At 40.7% G+C, this 20,792-nt stretch overlaps 1 protein-coding gene and 1 pseudogene across 15 annotated transcripts in view; both read left to right on the forward strand.

Moving 5' to 3' along the window:
* Positions 1 to 20,792, forward strand: part of KIF15 (kinesin family member 15) — a 106,894-nt gene that overhangs the window by 78,682 nt on the left and 7,420 nt on the right. For 7 of the 15 annotated variants that reach the window (XM_017006884.3, NM_020242.3, XM_011533964.4 and 4 more), the window contains 7 exons: positions 599 to 763; positions 2,650 to 2,759; positions 7,510 to 7,582; positions 8,046 to 8,083; positions 11,312 to 11,477; positions 11,733 to 11,864; positions 12,198 to 12,781. In XM_017006884.3, coding sequence (XP_016862373.1) covers positions 599 to 763; positions 2,650 to 2,759; positions 7,510 to 7,582; positions 8,046 to 8,083; positions 11,312 to 11,477; positions 11,733 to 11,864; positions 12,198 to 12,260 — 747 coding nt within the window. In that variant the 3' untranslated portion in view covers positions 12,261 to 12,781. Of the gene's footprint in view, positions 1 to 598; positions 764 to 2,649; positions 2,760 to 3,045; positions 3,234 to 4,354; positions 4,547 to 7,509; positions 7,583 to 8,045; positions 8,084 to 11,311; positions 11,478 to 11,732; positions 11,865 to 12,197; positions 12,782 to 20,792 lie in introns of those variants that run through there. The other 8 variants (XM_017006887.3, XM_047448602.1, XM_047448603.1 and 5 more) reach the window with 5 other exon arrangements.
* Positions 4,092 to 5,029, forward strand: HNRNPA1P77 (heterogeneous nuclear ribonucleoprotein A1 pseudogene 77; annotated as a pseudogene).

The following is a 20,792-nucleotide window of genomic DNA, read 5'->3' on the forward strand; positions in this document are numbered from 1 at the left end:
TATTTCAGGAGGAAGAAACAGTTTTGTAAATGATAAAAATTTGGAAATTAGGAAGAACATACCTTTGTCTTTTTAAAGAAAAAGATTTTCACTAATACCCTCTGTCTGCTTTTTACTTGATGAAAGTAGCAGTCTTTTATTTCCTTGGAAAAGAATTAGAATAATAAGCTAAGCAGCGGATTTTTTTTTTTTTTTTTTTTTTTTTTTTTGGCAGATGGAGTCTTGCTCTGTCACCCAGGCTGGAGTGCAGTGGCATGATCTCGGCTCACTGCAGCCTCCGTCTCCCAGGTTCAAGCAATTCTCCTGCCTCAGCTTCCCAAGTAGCTGGGACTACAGGTGCACACTGCCACGCCTGGCTAATTTTTTTTTCTGTATTTTAGTAGCGACAGGGTTTCACTGTGTTGCCTAGGCTGGTCTTGAACTTCTGAGCTTAGGCAGTCCGCCCACCTCGGCCTCCCAAAGTGCTAGGATTACAGGTGTGAGCCACCATGCCCAGCCGTAGCTAGAATATTTTTTATGTACTTGACATTTACGTTTAAAAGAAATCTTTATAATATCACTTAATTGGATATTTGGATGAGATGTGATTTTATTTTAGAGTCCTAAGACACCACCTCACTTTCAAACACATTTGGCAAAACTCCTGGAAACACAAGAACAAGAGATAGAAGATGGAAGAGCCTCTAAGACTTCTTTGGAACACCTTGTAACAAAGCTAAATGAAGACAGAGAAGTCAAAAATGCTGAAATCCTCAGAATGAAGGTAATTGGATTTTTTTTCCAGTAAATTTAATTATTTTTAAAGAGACCAAGTCTCGCTATGTTGCCCAGGCTGGGCTCAAGTGATCCATTTGCCTCAGCCACCCAGTATCTGGCACTATAGGTATATGCCACCATGCCCAGCCAGTAAATTTAATTTTTTTTTTTTTGTTTTTTTTTTGAGACGGAGTCTGCCTCTGTCGCCCAGGGTGGAGTGCAGTGGTGTGATCTTGGCTCACTGCAAGCTCCGCCTCCCAGGTTCACAGCGTTCTCCTGCCTCAGCCTCCCGAGTAGCTGGGACTACAGGCGCCCGCCACCACACTCGGCTAATTTTTTGTATTTTCTAGTAGAGACGGAGTTTCACTGTGTTAGCCAGGATGGTCTTGATCTCCTGACCTCATGATCCGCCTACCTCAGCCTCCCAAAGTGCTGGGATTACAGGTGTGAGCCACCGCGCCTGGCCAATTTAATTTTTTAAACTAAGCAGCATCCTCATGGTTACTGAGGATACAAAATTCAAAAAGCACAGAACTGAAAGGTAGACAGAGAAAAGTATTCCTTCTACCCCTGATACTAATCCACCTACTTTGCTGTCCCTGGAGGCTTCCAGGGTAGCCCCTTTCTTTTAGAGCTTTTTAATGCATACATAACCACATCGCTAAGCATTCTCTCCTGCCCCATTTGGTTTTTACACAATGGTGTCATATACAGGTTGCGCCAGCTATGCTCTCATCAGGAATGAAGGTGAGAGCATGTTTCCTTAAACCTCACCTCATGGTGCTATCTGAATTTCGGATCTTTGTCCGTTTAATAGCTAAAGTATTAAATGATGTAGTTTTACATTTATATTTTTCTTAAGAGTAAAATTGAGCATCTTGTTTTTCTGTTTCTGTGAACAATATCCATTACCCATTTTTCTATCACTGGACTTTTTCTTATTGATTCATAGGCATTTTTATATATTAGAGATTTTTTTAGTCTCTGATAAATTTAAAATACTTTCTTGTTTTCCATTTTTTTAAGCTTCCTCATAGTGTTTTTACCCAGTTACTTGATGGTATGTTGTCTGAGTAGTGGGGTGTGCACATGGCTCAGGGGTGGGGCACATGGAAGAGTGTCTGGGTAGGTGTGTAGGTGCATGGGGAAGGATGTGATGCTCCACAGAAGATAGCATTTATCCTGTGAGGTCATTGCTCTGCAGGGAGTTTTTGTTTAGGAACACAAATTGTTCACTTTAACCAAGGGATGTATATAAAGACAGCACTTATCTTGAGTTTTGTTATTCATGGAGAAGATTATTCCCAATCTTTTTATTTAGGGCAGTTCTCAGTATGCTATCTCAGGAATGTGGCTGTTATCCAGATTGCCATGATCTTGAAACTTAGAAGAAACTGGGTCAGGTGAAACGAAATCAGATAATAGGCAAGTAAATCCAAAAGGATATTCCTTGCAGACAAGTATTTATTTCTTCCAGATAGCTATGCTCATGATTTTCAAGTTAGGATGCAATTGAGTATTTTGAGGGATGAGCTGTGACGTCAATTTTTTGTTTTAATTAGAATCTACGTAATAAATAGAATCGAATAGTTGAGAACATTTTTCAATATAGAGATTTTTGTCATCTTTATTCACAAAGGAATTTTAATTTTTAATGAATTCTGTGATATTGATTTTAAAAATCTGTGTTCAAGACACTGTGGATGTGATCATGAATCACCATTCTAGGCCTCCAATAGCTTGTCACAGTCTGCTTTTCATGCAGCAATACCCAGTGCAGTGTCTCTGCATAGGAACTTAAAAGAGGAATACCTGTCTCAGTGGTGGCCTTGGGGAGCTAAATGAAGCCTACTGTAATGTGTTTTTTGAAAAGATACGATTTGATGTTATTAGGAGCAGTTGCGTGAAATGGAAAACCTACGCCTGGAAAGTCAGCAGTTAATAGAGAAAAACTGGCTCCTGCAAGGTCAGCTGGATGATATTAAAAGACAAAAGGAAAACAGGTGAGAAAGAACCACGAGAACTCTATGGGCTAAATCTTGGCCTGCCTGTGTGGAGTTAAATGAGGTTGGAATTGGTTTCACAGGTTTCCCAAGGTGTACAATGTTTCCCACTAATCCAGGAGATGGTCTTTTGGTTGATTTTGAATCAAGTCTGATCTGTTCACCTTTGCATTGCTCTGCAGTGCGTTTTTGGCATTGTTGCATTTGTTTTAAAGTGATTGAAATGAATTTAAAACATGTGAGATACTTAAAACAAATTACTTATATTTAAAAAAATTTTTTTAAGGTATATATAATATCGACAAGGTTCAAGAAGCCTTGCAGAGAAAGGGAGAATTCCCTACTAGTTGGCTTTGCTTCGTAACTCATGGTCCAGGGAAAGCCCCTGGGCAGGACAAGAAGGATATCCTTAGCATTTTACAGAGGAGCATTCACTTGGATTTAGACATCTCTCTGAGTGTGTTTTGGCTTCAGGTAAGGCAGTTTTGTAGTTGCATTTGCCGATACATTTGCATAGTGTCGGGGCAGCCATATCCAGACTTATATCTTGTCTTTGACTTAAAAGTCATACGATTTTCAACATATTTTTTACCCTTTTAGTACTTCACTTTCCTTAACAATAAAATGAAGAAAATGTTCATTTTCTCACAAGGAGTTTTAAAGATTAAAAATTACATGTATAAAGTGCCAGTTACAGTGTTTGGTAGCAGGTGTCAGTCAATGAAAAGTAGTTATTAAGTACACAAGGTAGAATTATGATTCTGCCTATTGTAACTTTCTGAGTGAGAGTTTGGAGATGATAGTGGCCTGTAAAATTATGCAAGAAGTCGAATTGAATCAAAGTGGGATCTCCGAGATAGAAGCCCTTACCGAATTCCACTGACTGCTGTCCATGCTGTTGCCACAACATCTTTGACAGAGAAGCTTGTGCACTCCTGCAGCTCCCTGGCCCTGTCCAGAAACACCCCTGATATGAGTTGTTCAAAACCTAAATGAGGCAGGAGAGATTTGAGGATGGTAATGGTGGCTATGCTAAAATCTCTTCTTAAATGATTCTCTTCAAATTTTAGTGAGCATCAGAGATCTTATTCAGTAGGGCTGGAGCGAAGCCCAGAATTCTGCATTTTAAAAAAGCACGTGCCTCCCTTTGTAGGTGATTCTGATGTAGGTAGTCCACAGTCTGCTCACCTAGTTTTCATATGCTCCATATATGTCCAATTCTATTAAAGAAAAGCCTTATATTTAGTATACTGTCTTTTGTCAAGAGCTACTGTGAACATAGAACATTTCCGGATCATTTGTAAAATGAAAATTTAAAATACCGTATTTCAGAGATACGTCATAAGCTTACTACTTTTGCCCATGGATGCCACTAAGGATGCATCGTTCAAGTCTTTCTTCCCACTACCAACATATCTAAGTCAGAGTCTCTTAAATAGCCCGAATAGCTACAGAAGCTCTTCATCAGACGATTGAGCTTTGAAACAACCAATAAGAGTCTGGGGAGCCATTCTGAGTAGTGAGGAAAGCTCATGGATTATATAGCAATGAGAGACCCAAACACCAAGCATTCCAGGGCCTTTGGTTTTTCACAGATGGCACTGTGGAGGAGATGGATGCAGCCGTAAATCAAGGCGACACAAGGCAGATGAAAGAGTTGTGAAACCAAAGAGGGATGTCAAGAAAAGATTCTCAAAGACCAGGTGCCTGGTTAACTGTAAAAAAGATCTTTGTTGGTGGCATCACAGAAGACACTGAAGAACATCACCTAAGAGATTATTGTGAAGGTATGAGAAAATAGGAGTGGTTGAAATCATGACTGAGTGAGGCAATGGCAAAAAGAAGAGCTTTACTTTTTTAACCTTTGAGGACAGCCATGACTCTGCGAATAAGATTGTCTCTCAGAAATACCGTAAAGTACATAGCCACTACCATGAAGTATGGAAAACCATGTTGAAGAAAGAAATGGTTAGTACTTCAGCCAGCCAGAGAGGTCAGAGTGGTTCTGGAAACTTTGGTGGTGGTCATGGAGGTGGTTTTGGTGGGAGTAACAACTTTGGTCATCAAGGAAAAATTTCACTGGTAATGGTAGCTTTGGAGGCAGCTGTATTGGTGGATATGGGGGCAGCAGGGATGGCTATAATGGATTTAGTACTTAAATGATGGAAGCAGTTTTGGAGATGGTGGGAACTACAACGATTTTGGTAATTACAACAACCAATCTTCAATCAATTTTGAACCCATGAAGAGAAGAAACTTTGGAGACAGAAACTCTGGCACCTAAAAAAAAAAGAAAGAAAGAAACTCTGGCCCCTGTGGTGGCTGAGGCTACTATGTTGCCAAAACATCAAATCAAGGTGGCTAAGGCATGTGAAAGTTGCCAGTACCAGAATGGAGTCACTTATGTCAAAACCCTAACAAAGTGGAGTCAGGAGGCCCTAAAAAAGTTCTCACCGCACATGCCTATAATATACCTTATCACAAGAAATTCCTGCAGGTCCCACATGCCCCACTTCTGCACTCACCCTGCAACAGAGCTTATCACAGGAATTTTTCAGGCCTGCAGTATTTCAGACAAGCTGCCAGCACCAGGACAGTTACTCAGCAACAGCCATCTCCACCAATGAATAAACGCCAACTCCTGCACTGAGCTTCTGTGACCCGTGAGCTTTATTTCAAGCTTTATTTCATGGATTTCTCTTTGTCTTTAAAAGCTTTCCCTTTCCCCAACTCCCCTGGATACATTAATGGCCCGTCATAGCTTGCATACCCTGCAATTGCAATCCCTCTGCTATTCCTAGATAAACTTGTTTGTTCTAAAGAGCCTGTCTTTCTGAGTTTCTTTTTAGGTTGACAGGCAGTTCCAGTAGCAGCAGTAGTTATGGCAGTGGCAGAAGGTTTTAATTAATGCCAGGAAACAAAGCTTAGCAGGAGAGGAGAGCCAGAGAAGTGACAGGGAAACTACAGGTTACAACAGATTTGTGAACTCAGCCAAGCACAGTTGGTAGCAGGGCCTAGCTGCTACAAAGAAGATATGTTTTAGACAATACTCAGGTGTATGGGTAAAAAACTCAAGGACCGTATTTGTGACTAATTGTATAACAGGTTAGTTTAGTTTCTGTTCTGTGGAAAGTGTAAAGCAGTCTTAACAAAGAGTTTTAATGTGTTTTTTTTTTCCTTTGCACTCATCCTGTTGATTGCCAAATGTCATAGTCTGATCATGATGTTGAATAAATGTCTTTTAAAAGATGTTTTTCACTGGGTGTCGTGGCTCACGCCTGTAATTCCAGCACTTTGAGAGGCCGAGGCAGGCAGATCATTTGAGGTCAGGAGTTTGAGACCAGCCTGACTAACATGGTGAAACCCTGTCTCTACTAAAAATACAAAAAATGAGTCAGGAGTGGTGGCACGCACCTGTAATCCCAGCTACTCAGGAGGCTGAGGCAGGAGAATCGCTTGAACCGGGGAGGTGGAGGTTGTAGTAAGCTGAGATTGCACTGTTGCATTCCAGCCTGGGACAGAGTAGGACTCTGTCTCAAAAAAAAAAAAAAAAAAAAAGTTTTTCATTTCATAGCCTCACATTCCTTATATATAAAAGAGCTACTCAGAACCTTCTTTGTGAAAAATTAGAGAAAGGGCAGACTATAGCTCAGGGGCCTAATTCAGCTCACAACCTGTTTTGTAAATAAAATTTTATTGAGACATAGTCACACCCTGTCATTTTAATATTGTTGTGGCTACTTTTGCACTACAATAGCTAAGTTGAATAGCTGTGGCAGAGACCGCATGGCTCCCAAAGCCTGAAATATTTACTGTCTCGTTCTTGACAGAAGACGTTTGCCAATCCTTGGATTAGTGGACAGAAAACATATCTTTCCCTAATGATTTGGGGTATTTCTTCATTGAGGACTCATTACCATTTTTGTCTGGGCTGCCAGATTTGTTAAGGGAAAGAAACCTCACTGTAGCTTCTGTTTTCCTTCAAGAAATGGTCTTTTACTCACCAGTGAGAGAGATATTCCTAGAGAAGCCTACAACATTCAGGAAGGTTCTCCAAGGAGGGAGGGAGGGATGTCTCTCTGGTCCAGGGGCTGCACACAGAAACTCAACTTATTATCCTCACCTGGTCAGGCTCACAGAGATAGATGTATTATCTAGAATGTAATTTTCTTACTTTATATATTGGAACATTCCTTTTCCATGAAGACATATCTGGTGCTTGGGACATCTGGCCCTGGTGTCCACATACACGGAAAGGCAGAGTGGTTATCAGAAAATGCCAACTGACTATGGAACCTGAGCAAAAGAGAGTCAAGGACTCCACTAGCCTGAGGCCAGAGCGACCCTGCCTACCCAAAATGTGCCCCCTCCCAGCTGATCACATTCATACCAGGCTCTTGGCTCTTTCTTTCAGCCCCCTTTTGTTCACATTCGATCTTCAGATGTTACCACTTTTAACTAAGTTTCTACTGTATTTTACTTTCAACCAATCCTTGATTATATTTCCCACCTCATCTCATCTTGCTTTTGTACTGGGAGGAATCCTGAGTTCTGGGGAAGTGCCTTATTTCATCCCCATGTGTCAATCACATTTATCAACTGTACTGACTTGACCCAATCACAATAGAGTTAGCCTTTCTTTGTACACCTTGGCATTGCTGCATATAATGGATTTGAATTTGAAATTGATACTTGAATATACTTAGCAGTGTTTTCCTATGCCTCCTCCCACCCCTGTTAATCTATGCAGTGATCAGAATCATCCAGATAATCAACAGCTGAAGAATGAACAAGAAGAAAGTATCAAAGAAAGACTTGCAAAAGTAAGATTTTTTTTTATGTAATAGTTTCTTCTTGTCTGAGCAATGCTTTTATAGTTAGTATTTATGGTAGTATATTTTAGAAATCATTTTACTATTGAAATTCCTGTCTTTTCTGCATTTCCACTGTTTAGCATGATATTTACCATTAGTATTTAGACACAGCTGAGAATTAAGAATTTGTCTTCATGCCTACATGGCAAGCCTACTGCTCAGCATGCACACATATAATTCTCCATTTAGAAGCAAGTACCAAGGCCTGTTTGAAGCCTTAGAGGGCATAGTGCATGAAGTCTTGGAAATAGGTACTTACTTTATGTATGTGTAGCTGGCACTGTGGAAAAGGATATTGGTTTGATTTTATTCACATGAAGGAGAATGGGCTGGTTCCTTTCTATCTTTTTTAAGCAATGTTATTTAAGAACCTAAGCAATCTTTTTATTTTCTTTTTTTAATCTTCTTATAGAGTAAAATAGTTGAAGAAATGCTGAAAATGAAAGCAGAGTAAGTGTACTATTTTGTAATTTAAAATCTTGATCATCTTTTCCTTATTCTCCTCTAAAGGAATGATATACCACAAGGTAGGTAACTTCTTTCCTTCTGCAGTAATAAGTGAATTTAATAGATGTTTACAGATTTTTTTTTAAATACCATTTGCTAAAAGGGTTTCTCATGTGAAGCCACTTCAAAAGAAATCTTAAAGAAATAAATAGCAGGAAAAGCCTAGCTTCCCTTGAGGAATCGATGGGGCTTTTCCTCATGGACAATGAGAACAATGTAACTACCAGGTGTCCCTTTTCACTTCTGCTTCTGGTTTCCTCTGATTTAAAACCTGAGGCCCTCTGAGACCCAAAGATCAGTACTCTGATTTCTTCTGGTCTAGCCCTTGGGTCTCTTTATGTTTTCTAAAGCCATGAGTTTAATTTATTCATAAAGTTTTCATATTAATTCATGTAGCCTTATAAATGGCCTCACTCTTTGATGAGCAAGGTGTACTATATTTTCTGTAAAATTCAAACTAAGTAAGCTGGTTGGCATTAACACAAACAAAACAACATTAGAGAGCTATTGGGCTTTTTCTGGGTAGATACTCCTTATTAGGGATAGAGATCTTCAAACATTTTTGCTTATTATACTGATTTAAAGGATTTTGAAACATCATATACCCTCTTGCATATTTTTGAAGTTGACTTTATATCTAAAATTTTTCATTGTAAGTTTAAATTGTTACAAAGAATAGACATTCTGGGATATACAATATAGTGACATTTGAAAATAAAGCTGTTGGCTGGGCCCAGTAGCTCACGCCTGTAATCCCAGCACTTTGGGAGGCCGAGGCAGGTGGATTGCTTGAGTTTAGGAGTTTGAGATCAGTCTGGGCAACATGGTGAAACCCTGTCTCTATTTCTAAAATTTTTTTTAAATAAATTTTTTTAAAAAGAGAAAAGAAAATAAAGCTCTTGCCATTCTTTTAAAAGTATTTAACTAATTTGCTACTTTCTGTTTAAGAAATACATGAACAAATTTCCAAGTCTAAAATTTTACATTTTTCCTTTTTCCTTTGTAATTGAAGTTCCTTTCTACACCCTGCAGGATTTTATATTGATTTAATATATTTTCTGGAAAATTTTTTTATTGATAACCCCATCATACTACTTAACAATAAAATATATGTATGTACATACATACACACACACAAATTGAAAGTAATTTGTAAAAATTTATTTTAATCATATGGCTTTGTTATGTTTATTACCAATTGAGTTCACATTACAATTATTAATCAGTGTGCCTTAAATTTACTGGAAATTTTTATAAGTAATTATTATACTTAGGGAAAATTTTAGTGGAAATGCATCTCTTAATGTATTTTAACCTAATGCTTTTTCTTCAGTCAGCTCATTTTTCTGTTGTACTTCTCAAATGAGACAGGATTCAGCATCAACTCTATTCGTATTTTCTGCTTTTATAGATATAAATGCTGAGAAATCTTGTTCACATAGTTAAGTAAATGGCAATGAAGGAGTTTTGATAGGGTACTGTATTCCAGTTATTTGAACTTTATGCAAGTAAATATGTCAAAAATTACATGGTGATTTACCATCAAAAATTCTTTTTAATGATCAGCTGACAAAGACCACCCAATTTATGAAAGATTTGTTACCCAATCATTGATTCATTTGCTTCATAGAATCAGAGTATACATAGGAAAACAGCCTTTTCACCTGTGTATGAGCCATTCAGAGTCCGGCTCCTAGCTAATTAGTGGTAAAGCTAAGTCAGAAACCCAGATTATTTACAGGATTTTTGAGAATCCAGCTAGTTGGTTGAATTACAGCTATTTTAGAACTAATATCTATTTGAGGTCTTCTAGCAAAAAGAGTAAAAGCTATTTAACTTGGTGTATAGTTTATTTCATAGTCTAGTAACCAAGAGTCTTCATGATATGCTGTCTCTGGAACATACAGCAGGCCAAACTTCACTGCGGGCAAGTGAAGCACACTTCAGCAAACGGCATGCACTGTTTTATCAATCCCAGCCTACAACAGCAATTTTAAACGTTACGTTACCCATATATTTGTGAAGATGCTTTTAAAAGTAATGGGGAACCAATACAAAGCCAACAATGAATTGGGAGAGCATCAGTGCCCTTCTCCCCAGACTGTCCTTCTGAGATCCACAGAATGTAGTCCAAAAACAACTTGCCTAGAAATTAGCTGGCCCTTTGTGTATTAAATTTTATGTATTATATCATCTTAGCAATCAACCGCTAGAAATTAGCTGGCTTTGAGTGGTGTATTAAATTTTGTGTATTATATCATTTCAGTAATCAACAGCTAGAAATTAGCTGGCCTTGAATGGTGTAATAATACATCATTTCAACAGTCAACATTACATTTCATGAGCATTATAAAATAAAAAGCAGGCCTGGCACAGTGGTTCACACCTGTAGTCCCAGGATTTTGGGAGACCAAGGAGAAGAGGATTGCTTGAGGCCATGAGTTTGAGACCAGCCTGGGCAACATAGCAAGACTCCATCTCTACGGATAATTTTTAAAACATTAGCCAAGCACAGTGGTGCATGCTGGTAGTCCTAGATACTCCAAAGGCTGGAGCAGGAAGATTGCTTGAGCCTAGGAGTTGGAGGCTGCAGTGAGCTATGATGGTGCCAGCGTACTCTAGCCTGGGCAGCAGAGTGAGACCCTGTCCCTAAAGGGGGGTGGGGGGTGAAGTAGGCATTTGTTTTGGGAAACTTACAGGATTCAGATCATTTTATAAAGTCAGTGAAATGTACATGAAGTGTATAAATTCTAAACAACTGAAGAAATGAATTGAAAGAAATGACTGGTGTCCCACTGTCTGAGGACCAGTTTTTGAAATCAGAAATGATCAAGATAGGGGATACTGAATAAACCATGCAGATTATAATAATACTTAAATTACATTTGCCCCAAGTGGGCTGAATCTAAACAATTTTATTCTAAATTTTTTTTGTTTAGAAAATGTTTTGAGGAGTTTTCCAAAATGAAAGTCTTGGGTAAAACAAAACCAAAAAAAGCATATCTGGTATGTAGCACTTACTGTCTTCTTTTGCCATCAGCAGAGGAGGGCTAAAGATTAGTAATACTTTCAAATCAAAATTCTGGCCTTGCAGTACACATGTCTAACTTGAGCACTGTTTTATGATTATGTTTCTTTCAAATACTATAAAGTGATAACCTATTCCTACAGCCTAGAAGAAGTCCAAAGTGCCCTTTACAACAAAGAGATGGAATGCCTTAGAATGACTGATGAAGTCGAACGAACCCAAACTTTGGAGTCTAAAGCATTCCAGGAAAAAGAACAACTGAGATCAAAGCTGGAAGAAATGTATGAAGAAAGAGAGAGAACATCCCAGGTGTGCTAGTGTGTTGGTGTTTTCATGATACTTAGAACACTCAAATGAATAGAACTAATTAGCGTAAAACTCACTTTGTGATTGGGTGTCCTTAGTTCAGAGTTGCTTTATTGTATGAAGAGTTGTGAGGCCTTGAAAGCTGGGATTCTGGACTCTCTGACTTCCTGTGCTCCTGGAAGGCAAGAAATAATGTGACTTTAAAAGAAAATTAAGACCTACTTCTCATTTTTCCCTCCTTGGATTGATTACCTGCAGGAGATGGAAATGTTAAGGAAGCAGGTGGAGTGTCTTGCTGAGGAAAATGGAAAGTTGGTAGGTCACCAAAATTTGCATCAGAAGATTCAGTACGTAGTGCGACTAAAGAAGGAAAATGTCAGGCTTGCTGAGGTAAACCTAAAAATTATTCTGAATAAATTCTGTCTGGTTTAAAAATGATTATTTTATTGAAACCAAATTAAAACTTAATTATTGAATCAGTTAACTGCTTACTTCAGGGAGCTTCCTGAATTAAAAAAAAAAAAAAAGTTGGTCGTTGCTATTCTGAGCCTAATTCAATCAGTGGCATTTCATAGACAGCAGATTCTTGTTTAACGTTTAGTTTGCACATTGAAAATTCCAGTCTTAATTTGAAATATACACCTAATAAATGCAAAAAAAAACCACTTCCTGTAAGAATTAGAGCCTTATTTTTTTTCTTTTTGTTTTTTTAAAATTACTTAGGAGACAGAAAAGTTGCGTGCCGAAAATGTATTTTTAAAAGAAAAGAAAAGAAGTGAATCTTGAGGATTCCGGTCAGCTACCTAGGCATCACCTTGTTTGAAGATGTTTCTTCTCTTTTACAAGTAAGACCTACTCCTGGCCACTTAGGAGAGCTGAATTTATGGACCTTAATTATTAAATGTTTATAAGGTGGTGGTAACCACCTCAAGTTTCTGATGAACATTCTGCATCCATATACACCCTGTGACAGTCAGCAGTCTGCTATTAAGTGGCCTACTTCAAGGCTTTGAATCAACTTAAGGGAAAACCTTTTGTCTTTGTAAAAATAAAAGCCTGTAGCTAAGGTTTACAGTGGACATTAGCCAGATCATTTTCTTCTTAGATTATGCCATAATCTCCTTTGATTCTTATGGAAGTTCTAACAATATATGGTGGTTCCAACACCTGCAGTGAGTTTAATGACTGACTTAGTAGCAGGTACAAGAAGCAAACTTGTTAATATAGATTATTTTTGTATTCTTACTTTAGGTATTTTCTTGAGCATTTTCCATGACTGTAAATAAAGCCATTTTTTAAGATAATAATTAAAGTGACTTACATTGTTCATTCTGTTGTTCATTGAACACATACTTAATGAACACCTGCAATATGCCAGGCACTAATCATCAGTGAACAAAGCAAATCTTGCCCTCAAGGAACTTCTGTGTATTGGGCCTTCTTTCTTTTTTATTGAGACAAATATTCCATTTTATGGATATGCTACACTGTCCATCCAACAGCTGATGGATACTTGAATTGTTTCCAGTTTAGGACTATTATAAATAATGGAGCTATAAATGTTCATGTGTAAGTCATGGTGTGGACATATATTTCATATCTCTTGAGCACATGCCTAGGAGTAGAATTACTGGGTTATCTGAAAAGCATGTCTTTACTTTTTAAGACATTGCCTGTTTTCCAAATTTACCATTTAGGTATACCATTTTACATTCCTACCAACAGTGTATTCCAATTTCTCCACATTTTCACCAACACTTGTTATTGTCAGGTTTTTTACTGCAGCCATCCTAGGTGTGTAGTTATATCACTTGCATTTTCCTAATTACTAATGCTATTGAACATTTTTCCATATTATGGAATATTACTTGGCAATAAAAAGGGAACATGCTACAACATGATGAATCTCAAAAAAATGCTAAGTAAAAGAAAAACCAAACCCAAAAGACCACATATTATATGTTTTTATTTCTATGGCAGGTCCAGAAAAGGCAAAATTATAGAGATAGAAAGTAAATCATTGGCTGCTTGGAGCTAGGATGGGAGTGGGAATGACTGGGCACACGGGAACTTTTTGAGGTGGTGGAAATGTTTTAAAATTGCTTTGTGATGATGGCTACACAACTCTATGTTTACTAAAAAATGAACTATAGGGCTGGGTGTGGTGGCTCACACCTGTAATCCCAGCACTTTGGGAGGCCAAGGCAGGTGGATCACTTGAGGCCAGGAGTTCAATACCAGCCTGGCCAACATGGCAAAACCCCATCTCTACTAAAAATACAAAAATTAGCTGGGTGTGGTGGCGCATGCCTGTAATCCCAGCTACTCGTGAGGCTGAGGCACAAGAATCGCTTGAACCCGGGAGGCAGAGGTTTCATTGAGCTAAGATTGTACCACTACACTCCAGCCTGGGCAACAGAGTGAAAAAAAAAAAAAAAGGGAACTATACATTCAAAATGGGTGAATTTTAATAAAACTGCAGGAAAAAATTGTAATGCATAGTTGAACTCTCAAGGAATAATAAATAGTAAATCCGTAAGGGCCAAAAATGAAAAAGGAACTTTAATGTAGTATTAAATATAAGGTAGCGAGCAGACACTGCAACTGCCTCAGAGGTAGAAGAAGGTGGAATATTGAAGCTGATAATGAAGAGGCTTGGTTCTGATCACCTGTATCAGCTGTAGAGCTGCTATAACAAATGACTACAAACTGGGTGGCTTAAAACAACAGAAATCTATTTTCTGACAGTTCTGGAGGCGAGCAGTCCAAAATCAAGGTGTGAGTAGGGCCACAGTCTCTCAGAGCCATAGGGGAGAATCTGTTCCATGCCTTTCTCTTAGCTTCTGGTGTTGTCAGGAATCCTTGGTGTTCTTCCTTGTGCCTCTATCTCTTCTTAGAAAGACACTAGTCATATTGGATTAGAGCCTACCCTAAGGATCTCATCTTAATTTGATTATAACTATAATGACCCTATTTCCAAATAAAGTCATATCACAGGTACCAGGGGTTAAGACTTCAACATATCTTTTTAAGGGACACAATTCAACCCAGAACATCACTCATTGCAAGGAAAGTGTCACATGTGTCTGTGTGAAGAGACCACCAAACAGGCTTTGTGTGAGCAACAGGCTGTTTATTTCACCTGGGTGCAGGTGGGCTGAGTTTGAAAAGAGAGTCAGCAAAGTGTGGTGTGATTATCGTTAGTTCTTATAGGTTTTGGGATAGGTGGTGGAGTTAGGAGCAATGTTTTGCAGGCAGGGGGTGGATCTCACAAAGTACATTCTCAAGGGTGGGGAGAATTACAAAGAAACTTCTTAAAGGTGGAGGAGATTACAAAGAACCTTAAGGGTGGGGGAGATTACAAAGTACATTGATCAGTTAGGGTAGGGCAGAAACAAATCACAATGGTGGAATGTCATCAATTAAGGCTATTTTCACTTCTTTTGTGGATCTTCAGTTGCTCAGGCCATCTGGATATATATGTGCAGGTCACAGGAAATATGATGGCTTAGCTTGGGCTCAGAGGCCTGACGTTCCTGTCTTCTTATATTAATAAGAAAAGCAAAACAAAATAGTGATGAAGTGTTGGAGTGGCGAAAAATTTTGGGGGTGGTATAGAGAGATAATGGGCAATGTTTCTCAGGGCTGCTTCAAGTGGGCTTAGGGGCGGCGTGGGAACCTACAGTGGGAGAGATTCAATTGAAGAAAGATTTTGGGGTGAGGGGTGATATTGTGGGGTTGTTAGAAGGAGGATTTGTCGTATAGAATTATTGGTGATGGCCTGGATGTGGTTTTGTATGAATTGAGAAACTAAAGACACAAGGTCCAAATAAGAGAAGGAGAAAAACAGATATTAAAGGACTAAGAATTGGGAGGACGCAGGACATCCAATTAGAGAGCATCCAAGGGGATTTAGTGTAATTGATTGGTTGGTTGGTGAGTTTTTGGGCTCTATTTTTGAGAGTTCTTTTTTTTTAAGTTGAGGCTGAGCTTGGTGAGGTGTGTTTTTAAAAGACCATTAGTCCGTTCTACCTTTCCTGAAGATTGAGGATGGTAAGGGGTATGAAGGTTTCACTGAATACCAAGAGCCTGAGAAACTGCTTGGGTGATTTGACTAATAAAGGCCGGTCCGTTATCGGACTGTATAGAGGTGGGAAGCCCAAACCCAGGAATTATGGCGGACAAAAGGGAAGAAATGACTGTGATGGCCTTCTCAGACCCTGTGGGAAAGGTGTCTACCCATCCAGTGAAAGTGTCTACCCAGACCAAGAGGTATTTTAGTTTCCTGACTCGGGGCATGTGAGTAAAGTCAATTTGCCAGTCCTGGGCAGGGGCAAATCCCCAAACTTGATGTGTAGGGAAGGGAGGGGGCCTGAACAATCCCTGCGGAGTAGCAGAATAGCAGATGGAACACTGAGAAGTGATTTCTTTGAGGACAGATTTCCACGATGGAAAGGAAATGAGAGGTTCTAAGAGGCGGGTTAGCGGCTTGTAACCTACATGGAAGAGGTTATGAAATGACGATAGAATAGAATGGGCCTGTGAGGCTGGAAGGAGATATTTTTCTTGGTCCAAGAACCATTTGCCTTGTGTGGGGAGAGACTGACAGGTGGAAGTTTCAGTGGGAAAGTAGGTGGGAGTGACTGATGAGACGGAGAAAAACTGGCCATGAGGGACAGAAGTTGGAAGGCTAGGTGCTTCTTTAGCTACCTTATCAGCATAAGCATTGCCCTGAGCGATAGGATCTGATGCCTTTTGGTGGCCCTTGCAGTGTATGACTCCAGCTTCCTTTGGAAGTAAAGCGGCCTTGAGAAGAGTTTTTATTAAGGAGGCCTTAATGATGGAGGACCCTTGCGTAGTGAGGAAACCTCTTTCTGCCCATATAACAGCATGGTGGTGCAGGATATGGAAGGCATAGAGTCAGTATAAATACTGACACGTAGTCCTTTTGCAAGAGTGAGGGCCTGAGTTAAGGCAGTGAGTTCGGCTTGCTGAGAGGTAGTGGAGGAGGGCAGAGCGGTAGCCTCAATGATAGATGTGGAAGATACTACAGCATAGCCTGTTTTGCTGGTGAGTGGCAATTAGGCCTGGTGGAACTGCCATCAGTAAACCAAGTGTGATCAGGATGAGGAACAGGAAAGAAGGAAATATAGGGAAATGGAGTGAATGTCAGGTGGATCAGAGAGATACAGTCATGGGGGTCTAGTTTGGTATCCAGAATAATGTGGGAGGCCGGACTGAAGTCCGGGCCAGAAAAATGGTAACTGTGGGAGACTCAACAAAGAGTGAGGATAGCTGAAGGAGTCGGGAAGCAGAAAGTATATGCATCAAGTGGGAGGAAGAAAATAGATTTTGGAAATTATGAGAACTGTAGAAAGTGAGTTGAGCATAGTTTGTGATTTTTAGGGCCTCTAAAAGTATTAGGGCAGCAGCAGCCGCTGCACGGAGACATAATGGCCAGCCTAAAACAGTAAGGTCAAGTTGTTTGGACAAAAAGGCTATGGGGCGCGGTCCTGGTCCTTGTGTAAGAATTCCGACTGCACAGCCCTGCACTTTGGCTGTGTGTAATGAAAAGGGTTGGGATGAGTCACAGAGAGCTAGTGCAGGAGCAGTCTCTAAAGCTGTCTTCAAGGAACGGAAAGAGGAGTGGGGAAAAGATTTAGGATCTATAGGGTCGGCTAGATTTCCTTTTGTGAGTTTATTTAACGGTTTTGTTAGGATGGCAAAACCAGGTATCCAAAGTCGAAAGTATCCAACCATGTCCAGGAAGGAAAGGAGTTGTTGTTTTGTAGAAGGGGTTGGGGTTTGAGAGATCAGTCAGACATGATCGGCAGAGAGAGCACGTATGTTTTTATGAAGAATTATGCCGAGGTAGGTAACGGATGGAGAAGAAATTGAGCTTTGGAGGGGGATACCCAATATCCCTTGGAGAATAAATGTTGAAGGAGCAGGAGGGTGTCCTGTTGAGAAGATTCAAAGGAGGGGCTACAAAGTAGAAGGTCATCAATATATTGAATAAGGTGAGAAGCAGAAGGGTGGAAAGAAAGTAAATCAAGAGAAAGAGCTTGGCTGAAGTAATGAGTGCTGTCCCTGAAGCCTTGCGGCAGTACAGCCCAGGTAAGCTGCTGGGACTGATGGGTGTCAGGGTCAGTCCAGGTAAAAGCAGAGGCTGGGACGAGGGGTGTAGGGGAATAGTGAAAAAAGCATCTTTAAGATCAAGAATGGAATAGTGAGTTGTGGAGGAAGGTATTGAGGACTAAAGAGTGTACAGGTTGGGCACTACAGGGTGGATAGGCAAAATAATTTGGTTGATAAGGCGCAGATCCTGAACTAACCTGTAAGACTTGTCCGGTTTTTGAATAGGTAAAATGGGAGAATTGTAAGGAGAGTTTATAGGTTTTAGAAGCCCATGCTGTAGCAGGCGAGTGATAACAGGCTTTAATCCCCTTAAAGCCTGTTGTGGGATGGGATACTGGCATTGAGCAGGGTAAGGGTGATTAGGTTTTAATGGGATAGTAATGCGCGTGTGATGGGTTGCCAGGGAGGGAGTGGAGGTGTCCCATACTTGTGGGTTAAGGTGGGGGGGATACGAGAGGAAGACACAAAGGAGGCTTTCGGTTGGGAAGAAGGGTGGCAATGAGATGTGGCTGTAGTCCAGGAATAATCAGGGAAGCAGATAATTTGGTTAAATATTTCAGCCTAATAAGGGAACTGGGCAAGTGGGGATAACTAAAAAGGAGTGCATTAAAGAACGTTGTCCAAGTTGGCACCAGAGTTGGGGAGTTTTAAGAGGTTTAGAAGCCTAGCCGTCAATACCCACAACAGTTATGGAGGCAAGGGAAACAGGCCCTTGAAAAGAAGATAATGTGGAGTTGGTAGCCTCTGTATTGATTAAGAAGGGGATGGACTTATCCTCCACTGTAAAAGTTACCCGAAGCTCGGTGTCCGTGACGGTCCAGGGGGCCTCCAAGGCGATCGGGCAGCATCAGTCTTCAGCTGCTAAGCTGAGAAGATATGGGAAGGAGTCAGTCAGAGAGCCCCGGGCCAGAGTTCCAGGGGCTCTGGGAGTGGCTGCAGGGCAAGCTGGACAGTCTGATTTCCAGTGGGGTCCCGCACAGTTGGGACACGGCTTAGGAGGAATCCCAGGGCTGTGGGCATTTCTTGGCCCAGTGGCCAGATTTATGGCACTTTAAGCAAGCTCCTGTGGGAGGCGGTCCTGGAGGAAAGCCTGGCCACTGCGGTTCAGACGTTTTGAAGTTCTTGTGTGCTGGAGATGTGGCTGGGGTTTCTCTCACAGTGGAGGCAACTAATTGCAACTCAGAAAAACATTGCTACTTGGCTGCCTTTACTCTATTATTGTACACCTTGAAGGCGAGGTTAATTAGGTCCTGTTGTGGGTTTTGAGGGCTGGAATCTAATTTTTGGAGCTGGCGGCTTGGGTGCGGTGGCTCATGTCCGTAATCCCAGCACTTTGGGAGGCCAAGGTGGGTGGATCACTTGGGCCCAGGGGTTCAAGACCAGCCTGGGCCACATGTCAAAATCCTGTCTATACAAAAAATACAAAAATTAGCCAGGCATGATGCACCCATAGTCCCTGCTACTCAGGAAGCTGAAGTGGGAGAATCACTTGAGCCCAGCAGGTTGAGGCTGCAGTGAGCTATGATCCACCACTGTACTCCAGCCTGGCAGACAGAGCAGGACCCTGTCTCAAAAAATACATATATATATAATCTGGGCTTGATGGTACCTGCCTGTAGTCTTAGTTACTCAGGAGGCTGAGCTGAGAGGATGGCTTCAGCCTGGGAGCTCAAGGCTGAAGTGAGCCATGATTACACCATTGCACTCTAGCCTGGGTGACAGAGAGACTCTGTCTCCCTCTAAAAACAAACAAAATTCAGTCTAGCTCTAGACCTAATGAGAATCTTCATCTTAGCAAGATCCCTAGGTGATGTGTGTACACAGGAGTTTCTTAGAGGCAGAAATCACTTCCCAGCAGTGTCTGAGGATGGCATCACTTCAGCCATCATCACCAGGGCTGGGGACCTGGAGATTAACAACGATGTAGTCCCTGCCCTCAAGGAGCTTGCAGGCTAGCAGAGAAACAGACAACCAGAGGAACAACCACAGGACTGGTACAAAGGTAGGGGAGTAGCAGAGACGGCTTTACAGAGGAGGTGGCTCTGAGATGCTTAACCTTTAGTGCTAGTAGAGGCATCGTTTGTTCTAAGAAAATTTGCTTTACATTCTTTAAAGCATGCAGAGTTGATCAATGCAACACCTCTTGATTTCCTGATAAGAGCTTTCAGAGGGTATCATCTTTGAGCAGCTCCTTACTCAATGGAGTGGTGCAGTGAGACCTCTGAGCCTCAATTTCCTCATCTGCAAAATGGGACAGTTTGTACCATATTGGCGTTACTGAAATTATCCGTGTTTTTTTTTGAGACAGAGCCTTACTCTGTCACCCAGGCTGGAGGGCAGTGGTGCAATTTCGGCTCACTGCAACCTCTGCCTCCTGGGTTCAAACAATTCTCTGCCTCAGCTTCCCAAGTAGCTGGGAATACAGGTGCCCGCCACCACACCCAGCTAATTTTTTTTGTATTTTTAGTAGAGATGGAGTTTCACCATCTTGACCAATCTGGTCTTGAACTCCTGACCTCGTAATCCACCCACCTTTGGCCTCCCAAAGTGCTGGGATTACAGGCGTGAGCCACCGTGCCTGGCCTTATCCGTGCTTTTATTTGAGCCACAAAACCACCCTGTGAGAGAAGCAGCATGGTGTGGAAGGACTTCCATAAAAACTTGCTAAACAGAAGATACAAAAAGAATGCTGCTAAACAGTATGTTCAACTGTGAAATCATTTTTGTTTAAAAAATGCATATACATATTCTATAATTTTTTTAACATTTTAACTATATATAACTAAATAGACATATAGAAAAATGCTCTATTAACACTGATTTTCCTGGAGAGTGGAAATAGCACTTTATACATTTCAACACTTTATTTTCAAGGACGTGTACTTTTTAAATGGGAACATTTTATTTTTATTTTTATTTTTTGAGACGGAGTTCACTCTTGTTGGCCAGGCTGGAGTGCAATGGCATGATCTCAGCTCACCACAACCTTCACCTCCCAGGTTCAAGCGCTTCTCCTGCCTCGGCCTCCCGAGTAGCTGGGATTACAGGCATGCACCACCACGCCCGGCTAATTTTGTATTTTTAGTAGAGACGGGGTTTCTCTATGTTGGTCAGGCTGGTCTCGAACTCCCGACCTCAGGTGATCCACCCGCCTCGGCCTCCCAAAGTGCTGGGATTACA

The sequence above is a fragment of the Homo sapiens genome, chromosome 3 (genome assembly GCF_000001405.40).
Source record: "Homo sapiens chromosome 3, GRCh38.p14 Primary Assembly".
NCBI lineage: Eukaryota > Metazoa > Chordata > Mammalia > Primates > Hominidae > Homo > Homo sapiens.